Source organism: Homo sapiens, chromosome 14 (assembly GCF_000001405.40).
Source record: "Homo sapiens chromosome 14, GRCh38.p14 Primary Assembly".
In the NCBI taxonomy this organism is placed as follows: Eukaryota; Metazoa; Chordata; class Mammalia; order Primates; family Hominidae; genus Homo; species Homo sapiens.
Genome location: NC_000014.9, coordinates 39536792 through 39551783, shown reverse-complemented (window position 1 = coordinate 39551783; position 14992 = coordinate 39536792). Strand labels below are relative to the sequence as shown.

At 39.3% G+C, this 14992-nt stretch overlaps 1 long non-coding RNA gene across 13 annotated transcripts in view, besides 2 other annotated features; it reads right to left on the bottom strand.

The window, feature by feature from the left end:
- The window catches only part of LOC105370461 (uncharacterized), a 433650-nt gene that overhangs the window by 314215 nt on the left and 104443 nt on the right, over window positions 1–14992 (bottom strand). The window lies entirely within an intron of this gene.
- Window positions 12889–13389: an enhancer, noted in NCBI's record as "H3K27ac hESC enhancer chr14:40007599-40008099 (GRCh37/hg19 assembly coordinates)". NCBI's record gives its function as "activates a minimal SCP1, AML or CMV promoter by ChIP-STARR-seq in primed H9 embryonic stem cells {active_cell/tissue: H9 hESC(primed)}" and the evidence as "EXISTENCE:reporter gene assay evidence [ECO:0000049][PMID:30033119]".
- Window positions 13390–13890: an enhancer, noted in NCBI's record as "H3K27ac hESC enhancer chr14:40007098-40007598 (GRCh37/hg19 assembly coordinates)". NCBI's record gives its function as "activates a minimal SCP1, AML or CMV promoter by ChIP-STARR-seq in primed H9 embryonic stem cells {active_cell/tissue: H9 hESC(primed)}" and the evidence as "EXISTENCE:reporter gene assay evidence [ECO:0000049][PMID:30033119]".

Sequence of the window (14992 nt, the reverse complement as noted above, 5' to 3'; positions counted from 1 at the left end):
TTTATAGATTCAATGCCATCCCCATCAAGCTACCAATGACTTTCTTCACAGAATTGGAAAAAACTACTTTAAAGTTCATATGGAACCAAAAAAGAGCCCACATTGCCAAGTCAATCCTAAGCCAAAAGAACAAAGCTGGAGGCACCATGCTACCTGACTTCAAACTATACTACAAGGCTACAGTAACCAAAACAGCATGGTACTGGTACCAAAACAGAGATATAGATCAATGGAACAGAACAGAGCCCTCAGAAATAATGCTGTATATCTACAACTATCTGATCTTTGACAAACCTGACAAAAACAAGAAATGGGGAAACGATTCCCTATTTAATAAATGGTGCTGGCAAAACTGGCTAGCCATATGTAGAAAGCTGAAACTGGATCCCTTCCTTACACCTTATACAAAAATTAATTCAAGATGGATTAAAGACTTAAACATTAGACCTAAAACCATAAAAATCCTAGAAGAAAACCTAGGCATTACCATTCAGGACATAGCCATGGGCAAGGACTTCATGACTATAACACCAAAAGCAATGGCAACAAAAGACAAAATTGACAAATGGGATCTAATTAAAACTAAAGAGCTTCTGCACAGCAAAAGAAACTACCATCAGAGTGAACAGGCAACCTACAAAATGGGAGAAAATTTTTGCAATCTACTCATCTGACAAAGGGCTAATATCCAGAATCTACAATGAACTCAAACAAATTTACAAGAAAAAAACAAACAACCCCAACAAAAAGTGGGTGAAGGATATGAACAGACATTTCTCCAAAGAAGACATTTATGCAGCCAAAAGACACATGAAAAAATGCTCATCATCACTGGCCATCAGAGAAATGCAAATCAAAACCACAACAAGATACCATCTCACACCAGTTAGAATGGCAGTCATTAAAAAGTCAGGAAACAACAGGTGCTGGAGAGGATGTGGAGAAATAGGAACACTTTTACGCTGTTGGTGGGACTGTAAACTAGTTCAACCATTGTGGAAGTCAGTGTGGCGATTCCTCAGGGATCTAGAACTAGAAATACCATTTGACCCAGCCATCCCATTACTGGGTATATACCCAAAGGATTATAAAACATGCTGCTATAAAGACACATGCACATGTATGTTTACTGCAGCACTATTCACAATAGCAAAGACTTGGAACCAATCCAAATGTCCAACAATGATAGACTGGATTAAGAAAATGTGGCACATATACACCATGGAATATTATGCAGCCATAAAAAAGGATGAGTTCATGTCCTTTGCAGGGACATGGATGAAGCTGGAAACCATCATTCTCAGCAAACTACCGCAAGGACAAAAAACCAAACACCACATGTTCTCACTCATAGGTGGGAATTGAACAATGAGAATACATGGACACAGGAAGGGGAACATCACACACCAGGGCCTGCTGCGGGGTGAGGGGAGGGAGGATGGATAGCATTAGGAGATATACCTAATGTTAAATGACGAGTTAATGGGTGCAGCACACCAACATGGCACATGTATACATACATATGTAACAAACTTGCAGGTTGTGCACATGTACCCTAAAACTTAAAGTATAATAAATATAAAAAAAAAGAAAACACTTTGTAGCCAAGCAGAAATACTTTGAAATATTCTCCCATCTCTCTTCACTATTTTGAATGTAACCATTTTAAAGCAGAAAAGTCTAAACTCCTAGATGTATCCTTTGAGGTGCTTTTCTGATCTTGCTTCGTGAATGGTGACATAACTTTTTCAGTATAGCTTCAGTGTTTGATGACGTCCCTCCTTCCTCCCCTATCCCTTTTCAACATTTTACGGCCCTGAAAAGACCTAGATTCTGCTCAGGCTTGTTAATGTTAGACAGCATGTGATCCTCAGCATACATTTTGTTTCACTGCCTGACATCCAAGCATGCTTCCTAACAATTCATCCGTTTTCTTTAAGTAAGTCTTTCCCTTTCACAGGGTACATTCCTGGTGGAACTGTACTCAAGATATCCGGCCCCCAACCCTTGAAAGGAATCTATCAAATCCTAAAGAGTCTTTCTGAGAGATAGAGTCTTCCTCTACCTATCCTCTCGTTCCTCCTATGGCTGTAGGTGGAACCTATCGAGCTCCCCACCCTATGACTTAAATCGACCATAAATTTACTACAGTGATAGCACCCTGTTTCTGAGCCTGGTTCTCTAAACTTTCCATCCATTCCAGGGACTCTGAGACCCATCCTCCATCCCCCACCAAAAAATAATTCCTTTTGCTTATCTAAAATTGGTTTATTCTACTTGCAACTCAAAAACAATGATACAGTCATAACATTAGAAATGCTGTTTATGGGCCGGGTGTGACGGCTCACACCTGTAATCCCAACACTTTGGGAGGCCAAGGTGGGCAGATCACTTGAGGTCAGGAGTCAAGATGAACCTGGCCAACATGGTGAAACCCCATCTCTATTTTTAAAAAATACAAAAATTAGCCAGGCATAGTGGCACACACCTCTAATCCCAACTACTCAGGAGGCTGGAGGCATGAGAATCTCTTGAATCTGGCAGACTGAGGTTGCAGTGAGCTGAGATCATGCCACTGCACTCCAGCCTGGGTGACACTGCACTCCAGCCTTTTGTGACATCTGTCACAAAAAAAAAAAAAAAGAAAAGAAATGCTGTTTATGGTTTTTCTACCTTTAGAGTCAAACTAAAACGAAACCCAAAACACACAATTTTGGTCATAGAAAAGACTAAATTTAATGGTAGTAACTTGGAATACATGGAAGGTGGTATTGCAGGACATTATTAGCATGCTTCCAAAGATCCCTGTAAAATGTGGCTTCTTTAACAGCAAATGATACAAGCAGATTGAAGAGGATCAGGAAATCTGATGATGCTGGTAGTTGCCAATTAATGGAGCTGTTGCTTCTTATCTTCCCAACATTAAATTAAACTTCACTAAGTCTCTTGACATCAGATAAATTATCTCTGAGCTGCCTAAGCAGAGTTTCTATACTTAATTTCCTTAGCCTATTTTAGCCTTTTCCTGGCAGGTTTTACTTGTCTTCCCTGATCATCTCAGGTGATGGTTTCAAGGCAGAGTAGATCATCGCTGAAAGGCTCCGCTGAGTTTTATCAACTAGCAAATAAAGCATGCATCCTGTTTCAATTACCTCATATTGCTTATGGACTTTTACCTAATAAGAATTCACTCTGAGCAGGTGCATTGCATTTTTATTACACAATCGTTTCATCAATTGTACAACTGCATGTCCCCAGATGCCCTAAATATGAGCCAGGTTTCTCTCACCAGCAGTCTCACTCCAGGTGAAAGGTAGCAACTGGGAAGAAGGAAGAGTAGAATTGCTAATATCCTGTCACATTAACAGGAATCACAACACTGACGTAAGTTTGAAAGTACAATAAATAGAAGCAGAAAAGGTTAAACAAATAAAATTAAACATTTGAAGAACTAAAATTAATATAACAGTTAAATAATGAGAAGGGAAATAAGGTAGAGATAAAGTAATTTTTTATAGTTAGGAATTTAAAGTTGTATTTGTTTTCCATTGCTGCATTACAAATTACTACAAACTTCAAACAACACAAACTTATTATCCAACAGTTTCTGTAAATCAGGTGTCCAGCTACGTGTTGTCTGGATCGTCTGCTCAGGATCTCACCAGGATAAAATCAAGCTGTCATCCAGGGATGCCTTCTCATCCTTGTGATCCTTTTCCAAACTCTCTGGTTGTTGGGAGAATTCGCTACCTTGCAGTTTTATGAGTGAAGTTCCTGTTATCTTGCTAGCTGTCAGCCAGAGATCACTCTTCACTCCTAAAGGCCATCCTCAGGTCCTAGCCACATGGCCCTCTTTGAAAACATGGCAGCTTCCTTTTTCAAGGCTGGTAGGAGAATCTTTTTCTGGAAAGGCTCAGTCACTTTTAAGGGTTTACCTGAATAAATCAGGCCATGCCTGGGATAATCTCTTTTGAATTAACTAAAAGTCTGCTGATTAGTAACCTAATCATTGGAGTGATAACCCATCATATTCACAGATCCATCTACCCTCAAGTCCAGAGGATAAGACAGGGCATGCACACCATAAGGAGGGAATCTTGGGGCTTAGAATTATTCTGTCTACTACAATAGTCATGATCTAAACTACACAATATTCAAACTTATATTTAGAATGTTTCACAACTAAAAATGTTAAAAGCTTTAACTAACTTTTACATGCTGGCGATTCTCCAATATATATTTATGGACCTGATCTCCTTGTTGCATTCCGCATACATATTCTCAACTCTTCCTGAATATCTCCAACTACTTATTCCACTAGCATCTGAAACTTAAAAAGTTCATATCTTAATTATTTGTTATCACCAAACCTCCTCCTTCTAATATTTCTTTTATCAGTTGATGGCAGGCCATTTATTCAGTCTCTTAAACTATAAACTCTGGAGTCATCTGTCACACCTGTTGATTCCTCACCTTTCATAGTGACCAAGACCTCATTCCTATATAACAGACTAGCTCCACATCTGGCACCATCACCACTGCCACACCTTGGCCAAACCTCATATCTCTTAACATATTTCCATCTTCCAATCTGCCCCCTACTAATCTATCCTCCAAGTTATTAAAAAGTCATCTTCCTAAAAACCAAATCTGATTATGCTGCTTCCTGTCTGAGAACTCTCCTTCTCACGAGTTTTCTCTAGGATAAAATCCAACCCAACTCTCACACTCATCTCCATTCACTCCTCATTCCTCTCCTGGTCCTCCTCTCTCACTTCTTTCCCATGCAAACACAATCTATCTTCTAGCCATACTGAATTTCTCACCATTTGACAAATAAGCCATGTTTTTTATAATTACTTAATTTTACACATGCAGTCCTCATGGTTTACAATGTTCTAGTTTCCTCCCTTTTCCTTCTCCCTCTTATCTTCTTGCACACTGCTCCTTCAACTGTGAACCTCTCATTATTTCATGAACACACCTGTCCTTTGACAATCCTGTGTCTTTTTATGTATTTTTCTCTCTAACATGGAATGCATTTATCAAATTCCTATTCATTTTTCAAGACCCAGCTCAAATGCTGCCTTCTCTAGGACAGATTTCCTCATCTCCTCACAAAGAATGCATTCCTTTCCCTCACCACATATAGTTCTTTATATGATTACCGTATTTTTCATTATGATTCAACTTATTATCTTCCCCACTCAACCAAGACTATCTTCAGAAAAAAGAATCTCTATTATTTACATCCATATTCTCAGTACTAAACACAACCCCTGGCACTTACTAGGCACTCAACAAATGTTTTACAAAACAAAATTAACTCACACATATATGGTCTCTCAATTATGCATATGATAACACTATAGTGTATACATAAATATGGATGTTTCCATACCCATACAGAAAATTAAAACTTGTCCTCACTTCACACCCTATGCAAAATCAATTCCAGATGAATTATAAAGCTGAATGTGAAAGTTTAAAATAAAGCTTCTAGAAGATAAATCTGCAAAACAATCTTATGACCTTGGAGTAAGCAAAGGTACTTAAATAGGACACAAATGTGCTAATCATGAAATAAAAGATTGATAAATTGAACTACTATAAAATTAAGAACTCTTGATAACCAAAAGACACAACTAATAAAATGAAAAGGCAAGTTACAGAGGGGGAAGATATTAGCAACACATATACCCAACAAAGAACTTGCATCAACTGGCTGGGCACGTGGGCTCACACCTGTAATCCCAGTACTTTGGGAGGCGAAGGTGGGCGGAGCACAAGGTCAGGAGATCGAGACCATCCTGGCTAACACGACGAAACCCTGTCTTTACTAAAAATACAAAAAAAAAAAAAATTAGCCGGGCGTGGTGGTGGGTGCCTGTAGTCCCAGCTACTCGGGAGGCTGAGGCAGGAGAATGGCATGAACCTGGGAGGCAGAGCTTGCAGTGAGCTGAGATCACGTCACTGCACTCCAGCCTGGGTGACCAAAAAAAAAAAAAAGAACTTGCATCAACTACAAATCAAGTTTTTTAAAAAAAGAAGAAGAAAACAGCCCAATAGAAAAAAAAGAGCAAATGACTCAACTGGCACTTCACAGAAGAAATCTAAATAATCTACATGGATATGAAAAAGTATTCAATCTCATCTGTCATCAGAGAAATGCAAATCAAGCTCAAAAATGTGATATCACCCACCTACCACTTTGGCTAAAATTAAAAAGACTGACAGTAAATATTTATGAGTTTACGGAGCAACAGGAATGCTCATACACTACTGGTGACACTTGAGAATGATACAATGTCTATGTAGCTGTTTGGCAGTACACACTAAAACTGTACACACTCATACCCTATGACCCAGCATGTTCACTTCTAAGTTTATAGTCACAGATATCCATAAAGATATATACCAGAGTATGAACAAAATGTTCATACAAGCACAATTTGTAATATCCTAAAACTGTAAACAAAAAATGTCATTCATCAAGAGAATGGATAAACAAAATATGGTATATTCATAAAACAGAATATTATACACCAATGAAAATGAATGTAGCAGTTAAAGTCAGAGGGGGCACAGTGGTTGAAAGGGAGCACAAGAAGAACTTCTTAGGGTACTACTAATATATTCCCAATCTGGGGGCTGTTTATATAGGTTCATACACTGTGAAGATTCATCAAACTGCACACTTAAGATTTTTTGCATTTTTCTGTATGTATATTATAATTCAATTAAAATTTTACTTAAAGTAAATGTCACTCCTCTAACATTCCTCAGTATTAATCATCTGTTAGTTGGATTGTAATTGCTATAATCAATAAGAAATAAGAAAAGACAATTTCTAAAAATAATCTCGCCATCGGGAGGCCTATAGGTGCATATGACATGCATATCTATGACTTAAAATTCTGACAATAAAAGTTGATGCTTATTTTGTACCAAAAAAACAAAAAACAAAAAAAAAGAAATTGAATAGCTTGATAGCATGTTGCTTTTCCTAGAATTAATTTTTGTACTGAGATCATAATCCCAGCATGTTAAAACATTTGAAAGTAGAATAATAGCCTACTACACTTGAATGTCCTTTTAACCCATTAATTTTCCAAGGGATAAAAGTCTGAAAAGCATCATTTTACAATGTGCATATAGCTAACTGGGCATAACTTTCAAGCACAGCTTTAAGCTTAGTTCAGTAAGTTACATCAAATCATTCTTTCCATTATTAAAAGGTTCCATTAGGAAGATTTCAAATGAAAATGTTGGCTGTTATTGCCAAAAATCAAATTACCCCTTATCTTTCCTTAGAAAGCTGTGTTAGGTTATTGTGATAGGCTGATGGTGGCCCCCAAAATATCAGGTCCTAATATCTAGAACTTATAAATGTTATCCATAAAGAAAAAAGGATCTTTGCATAAATGATTAAGGTTCTTGAGATGGAAAGCTTTTTCTGGATTACCCAGGTAGACTCTAAATGCAATTACAAGTGTACTTTTAAGAGGGAGAAAGAGAAATATTTGACTAGCAACAGAAAAAGAGGCAATGTAAAGACAGAGCAGAGAGAGATTTAAAGATGCAAGCCTTTTCTTATATGTTTCTTGGCCACTTGTATGCTCATCATCACTAATCATCAGAGAAATGCAAAGCAAAACCATCATGACACACCATCTCACCAGTCGGAATGGCTGTTATTAAAAAGTCAAAACATAACAGATAATGGCAAAGTTGTGGGGAAAAAAAGAATGCTTCTACACTGTTGTTAGGCATGCAAATTATTGTAGTTCAACAAATATGAAAAGCAATTTGGGGATCTCTCAAAGAACTTAAAACAAAGCCACCAGGCAACCCAGCAATCACATGACTGAGTATATACCCAAAGGAAAATAAATCATTCTAACAAAAGGATACATGCAATGGCATGTTTATCACCATGCTATTCACAATAGCAAAGACATGGACTCAACCTAGGTGTCCCCAGTAGAGGATTGCATAAAGAAAATGTGGTATATATACACCATAGAATACTATGCATCCATAAAAAAAGAATGAAATCACGTTCTTTGCAGCAACATGGATGCAGCTGGAGGCCATTATCCTAAGTAAATTAACATAGGAACAGAAAACCAAATGCCAAATGTTCTCACTTATAAGTAAGAGCTAAATGCTGGGTACTCATGGACATAAAGATGGCAAAAATAGACACTGTGGACTACTAGAGGGGTGAGGAAGGAAGGGGGACATGGGTTGAAAAACTACCTATTGGGTACTATGCTCACCATCTGGGTGACAGAATCCATACCCAAACCTCAGCATCACACAATACGTCCATATAATAATTTGTACATGTTCCCCTGTATCTAAAATAAAAGCTGAATTTTTAAAAAATAAATTTAAATTGTTGTGCTTTAGCATCTAACAAAAAAATTAAAGTGAAAAATTAAAAAAATAAAGATACTAACCTTCAAGATTGGAGTGATGTGCCCACAAGCCAAGGAATGCTAGCAGCCACCAAAAGATGGAAGAGGCAAGAAACAGATTTTTTCCTACAGCCTCCAGATAGAGACCAATACTTTCAATGCCTTGATTTTGTTTAATGATACTGATTTTGGACTTCTGAGCTCCCGAATTGACAGAATAAATTTCTGCTGTTCTAAGCCACCAAATTTGTGATCATTTGTTAGAACAGTCACAGGAAACTAGTACAATATAAGATATCGATTACATCTCCACTTAACAACAGAACTTGCTAAATATTGAAAATGTTGTGTCTGTTAATATTATTTCTTCAGATATTTTTAGTAAGTGCATTTTCCTAATTTCCAAATTGGCACAATGGCTTATGACATCTTGTGTAACAGAGAAGTCACAGCAATTGGCAACATATGACCAATACTAGAATATAACACTGTATGATGCATCACAGGTGCCTTAAAAAATAAAAGTTTGCTGTGTTGTTTCTGCTGTCAACTTATATCATCTTTTATTTGTTAAAGGTTGGGTTTCAATGCTCACTACTTAAAACTTCAAGTGGCTAAAGATGAAATGTAAGCCTTCTAACTCAGAAACTCAAATAAGAGTATTTAAATCATTTAATTCATTAAATATTCATTAATAAGTCAATGATGTCTTGATAATTAAGGATTATTTAACATTCAAATATATTAAAACATACTGAGATTTCAGAGGGTTCTGAAAAGAAATGTAAGCACCCTATAGCAATTCATTAATCCACTTACTATCATATAAATGCTTTAGCTAATTTTTTAAAGTTTTTTTTTTTTTAGCTTTTATTTTAGTTTCAGGAGTACATACACACGTTTGTTATATAGGTAAACTTGTGTCATGGGGGTTTGTTGAACATATTATTTCATCATCCAGGTACTAAGCCTAGTTATTTTTGCTGGTCTTCTCTCTTCCCACTCTCCACTCTCAATTAGGCCCCAGTGTCTCTTGTTCCTCTCTTTATGTCCATGAGTTCTCATCATTTAACTCCCTCTTATAAGTGAGAACTGCAGTATTTGGTTTTCTATTTCTGAATTAGTTTGCTAAGAATAATGGCCTCCAGCTCCATCCATGTTCCATAAAAGAAATGATCTTGTTCTTTTTTGTGGCTGCATAGTATTCCATAGTGAGTATGTACCACATTTTCTTTATCCAATTCTGTCATTGATGGGCATTTAGATTGATTCCATGTCTTTGTTATTGTGACTAGTGCTGCAATGAACATTAGCATGCATATGTCTTTATGGTAGAATGATCAACATTCCTCTGAGTATATACCCAGCATTGTTCATCAAGGATATTAAGTTGAAGTTTTCTTTTTCCATTGTGTCCCTGCCAGGTTTTGGTATCAGGATAATGCTGGCCTCACAGAATGAGTTGTGGAGGAGTCCCTCCTCTCAATTTTTTGGAATAGTTTTGGCAAAACTGGCACCAGGACCTCTCTGTAAATCTGGTAGAATTAAGCTGTGAATCTGTCTGGTCCTAGGCTGTTTTTTGTAAGTAGGCTATTTATTACTGATTCTATTTTGAAGCTTGTTATTGGTCTGTTCAGAGAATCTATTTCTTCCTGGTTCAGTCTTTGGAGGGTGTATGTACCCAGGAATATAGCCTTCTCTTCTAGGTTTCATAGTTTGTGTGTATATAGGTGTTTGTAGTAGTTTCTGATAGTTATCTTTATTTCTGTGGGGTCAGTGGTAATGTCCCCTTTGTCATTTCTAATTGTGTTTATTTGGATCTTCTCTCTTGTCTTCTTTATTAGTTTAGCTAGCAACCTATTTAGCTTATTAATTTTTGCAAAAAACAACTCAAATTTATTGATCTTTTGCATGATTTTTTCATGTCTCAATTTCCTTCATTTAAGCTCTGATTTGGGTTATTGCTTGTCTTCTGCTAGCTTTGGGGTTGGTTGGTCTTGCTTCTCTAATTCTTTCAGTTGTGATATTAGGTTACTAATTTGAGATCTTTCTTTTTGATGTGGCCATTTAGCGCTATGAATTACCCTTTTAACACACCCTTAGCTGTGTCACAGAGATTCTGGTATGTTGTATCTTTATTCTCATTAGTTTCAAAGAACCCCTCGACTTCTGCCTTAATTTCATTATTTACCCAAAAGTCACTGAGGAGCATATTGTTTAATTTCCATGTAATTGCATGATTTTGAGTGATTTTTTTAGTCTTCACATCTGTTTTTATTGTGCTGTGGTCCAAGAGTGTGTTTAGTATGATTTTGGTTGTTTTGTATTTGCTGAGGATTGTTTTATGTCCAATTATGTGGTCAATTTTAGAGTATATGCCATGTGGCAAGGAAAAATATTTATTTGTGATTCTTAGTTTCTTTGAATTGGGTTTTGCCATTCTCCTCAATCTCGATGATCTTCATTCTGTTCATATGTACATTCTGTTGTTTTTGGATGGAAAGTTCTCTAGAGGTCTATTAGTTTCATTTGGTCGAATGTTAAGTTCAGGCCCTAGATATATTTATTAATTTTCTGCCCCAATCATCTAATACTGTCAGTGGAGTACTGAAGTCTTTCACTATCATTGTGTGGGAGTCTAGGTCTCTTTGTAGGTAGATAATAACTTGCTTTATGAATCTGGGAGTTCCTGTGTTGGGTGCATCTATATTTAGGACAGTTAGGTCTACTTGTTTAATTAAACCCTTTACAATTATGTAATGCACTTCGTTGTCTTCTTTTTTATCTTTGTTGGTTTAAAGTTTGTTTTGTCTGAAATTAGGATTGCAACACCTGCTTTTTTCTGATTTCCATTTGCTTGGTAGATTTAACTCCATCCCTTTATTTTGAGCTTACGGGTGCCATTACATGTGAGATGGGTCTCTTAAAGACAACATACAATTGAGTCATGTTTTTTTTTTTTCAGCTTGCCACTCTGTGCCTTTTAAATGGGGCATTTAGCCTATTTACATTCAAGGTTAGTATTGATATGTGTGGATTTGATCATGACATTGTGTTGTTAGCTGTTTATTATGCTGGCTTGTTTGTGTGATTGCTTTATAGTGTAACTGGTCTGTGTACTTAATCACATTTTTGTATTGGCTGGGAACAGTGTTTCCTTTCTATATTTAGTGCTCCTTTCAAGATCTCTTGTAAGGCAGGTCTGGTTGTAACAAACTCCCTCAACATTTGCTTATATGAAAAGGATCTTATTTCTCCTTCACTTAGCAAACTTAGTTTGGCTGGATATGAAATTCTTGGTTAAAGATTTTTTTTCTTTAAGAATGTCGAATATAGGTCCCCAATCTCTTCTGGTATGTAGGGTTTCTGCTGAGAGATTTGCTGTTAGAGTGATGGGGTTCCCTTTATAGGTGACCTTCCCTTCCTCTCTAGCTGCCTTTAACATTCTTTCATTTCGACCTTGGAAAATCTGATGACTACGTGTCTTGGGGATAATCTTCTTATGTAGAATCTTCCAGGGGTTCTTTGTATTTCCTGAATTTGACTTTTGGCCTCTTTAGCAAGGTTAGGGAAGTTTTCATGGATGATAGCCTGAAACATGTTTTCCAAGTTGTCTGCTTTCTCCCTCTCCCTTTCTAGGATACCAATGATTTGTAGATTTGGCCTCCTTACATAATCCTATATTTCTCAGAGGTTTATTCATTCCTTTTCATTCTTTTTTCTTTATTTTTGTCTGACTGTCTTATTTAAGAGAGCCAGTCTTCAATTTCTGAGTTTCTTTCCTCAGCTTGGTCTATTTTGCTGTTAATCCCTGCAATTGCATTGTGAAATTCTTGTAATGTGTTTTTCAGCTCTATCAAATCAGTTAGGTTCTTTTTTATACCGGCTATTCCATATGTCAGATCCTGTATTATTTAATTGTGACTCTTAGTTTCCTTGAATTGGGTTTTGCCATTCTCCTGAATCTCAATGATCTTCATTCCTAGTCATATTCTGAATTCCATTTCTGTCATTTCAGCCAATTCAGCCTGGTTAAGAACCCTTGTTGGAGATCTAGTGTGGTCGTTTGAAGGACATAAGACACTCCGGTCATTTGAGTTACTGGAATTCTTGCATTCATTCTTTCTCACCTCTGTGTTTAGGTGTTCCTTTAACTACAGTGTAAATTGTTTACTTTCAATAGACTTATTTTCTGGATGTTTTCACAAGGCCATGGCTTCGTGCAGGGCCTTTATTTGTAGCTGACTTCTCATCTTTGGTTTCGCAGGGGTGTATGTCAGTAAGATATTTTTGGTGTTGAAGCTTTCGAATGTTATCCTGTAGGTGACACTTAGGTGTAGTGGTCAGTTGGTAAGTTCTTGTGGCTCCCCTATATTTCCTCACAGTTGCAACCATGCTCCCTGTCAAAGCTCTCAAAGTGTAGGCTCCTCGCCCACATGAATGTTGGCTGTACATTGCAGTTTAGCACTCCCAGGCTGCCCACTACAGCTTTGAGGTGATCTCATGGTTTATGTTTCCTCCCTAAGTAGGACAGAGAAAGGGACCTTAGTAATGGTTGTGGCCAAGGGCCTTTTGCTTGTCTCCTGGGGGCTCCACCCCAGAGAGATGCAGGTCAGCAATTTCACAGTGCAATCAGCCAAGGATAGAGAGTGTGTGCTCTGTGCCCAAGTTGTGGGTTCCCTGCTTGGTGATGAGCAGGGGGGATGGGCAGGACCCATGGGACACAGACTGGCCTCGTCTCCTTGGGTTGACTGCAGCTTGTTGGAAGTGTGGATAAGGCATTTATTTTCTTGCTCCTTTGTTAGTCTGAGAGTAGTAGGGGTAGTACCACATCAGAGGCAATGGCAGACAGGCTTTTAGTTGCCCCTGGGGGCTCCACCCCCAAGAAACACAGAGCAGCTATTACTGGGAGTGTTCAGTCTGTGGGGTGGCATGGCTGCACTGCTGGCATGAGCGTGGGGTTCCACTTACTGGGGAAAAAGGCAGTTGAAGGCTCACTAGGAGGAGAGATTGGTCTCTTCTCCACATGGTGACTGTGGTGTGCTGTAAACTTGGTATAGGCCTCAGGCTCTTTGTTTCTTCCCCAGGCTGAGGGAAGTAGGGATAGAACTGTTGCTGTGGCAGTGGCAGAGGGACAGCCATATGCCTCTTGGAGCCTCTCCCTAGGGAAACTCCAGGCCACTACCAGTGGGTACGCTCAGCCATGGGTGCGGTGATTGTTCTGCATTCATGAGCCAGGGGACCTGCCTGATGAAGAGTGTGGGTTGGGGGTTCCCAGGGAAAAGGAACTGGACTCTTCTCCGTATGGTGGCTATGACGTGCTGGAGGTGCCAGCATAATGACTAAGCCCTTTGTTTCTTCCCAGTCTGAGGGCTGTTAGGACTGTACCACTGCAACTGTAGTAATGGAGGGGTTGTGAATGGACTCTGGGATTTCCTCCTTGGAGAACTGCTGGGCTGCCTCTGATTGTGGTGATCAGGCAGGGGCAGGGTGATTGTCCCAGAGTCTCAAGCTGGGCAACCCTGCCCCGTGAGGAGAACTGAGGACCAAGATCTGCATGGACAATAGTCTGGCCACTTTTCTGTAAGATGGTTGCTCTGTGTGGGGGTCTGGACCAGCCTTTGGTCCCCATGACTCTCCAGAGCCTGAAGACAGCAAGGGCAAGGGCTGTGAGACAGCAAAAATGGCAACCCGCCCCTCCCACTGGGAGCTCTTGTCCAGGGAGTTGCAGAGCTGCCACTGGCTCCATAGCCCCAGTTGGCAGTGGCTGGAGACCCAGACCTGGAAGAACTACCCAGTGAGGAGATATGGAAGTGGGCACCCACATAACAATCTGGCCTCTTTTCCATAGGGCTGCTGCAGTATGCTGGGATCTGCTCCAGTCCCTAGTCACCTGGGATTTTTCGGTTCCTGAAGGTATCAATAGTGAAGGCTATGAAATACTAAAGATGGCGCCTGTCCCTCCTTCTGGGAGCTCCATCCCAGGGAGGTACAAACCTGTTGCCTTCCCAAACACACCTGCAATATGTGGCTGGAAAGCCTGGTAAGGAGATCCTGCCAAGTGAAGAGGAATGGGGCCAGGGACCTGTGTAAAAAAAAGCAGTCTGGCCATTTCTGTAGAGCAACTGTGCTGTGCTGGGGGTCCGCTCCAGCCTCTAGTTGCCTCAGACTCTCCAAAGCCCAAAGGCAAGAACTGCTAAGGCTGTGAAAGAGCAAAGATAGCAGTCCACCCCTTTTTCTGAGAGCTCCATCCCAGGGAGGTCTGAAGCTGCTGTCAGCCAGAAAACACCAGTGGGGGTGACTGGAGACCCCCATCTGGAGATAACGCTCAGTGAAGAGAAATAGGATTTGGGATGTGCGCAAATAAGCAGTCTGACTGCTCCTCCGTACAGCCGCTGGGCTGTGGTGGGAGACCCCTCCAGTCCTTAGTTGCCTCAGACTCCCTATATCCCTAAGGCAACAGTGCCTGAGGCTGTGAAAAAGCAAAGCAAAGATGGCAGCCTGCCCCTCCCTCTGAGTGTTACACATCAGGGAGGTGTAACACTGCTACTGGTGGCTGGCTAGAGTTC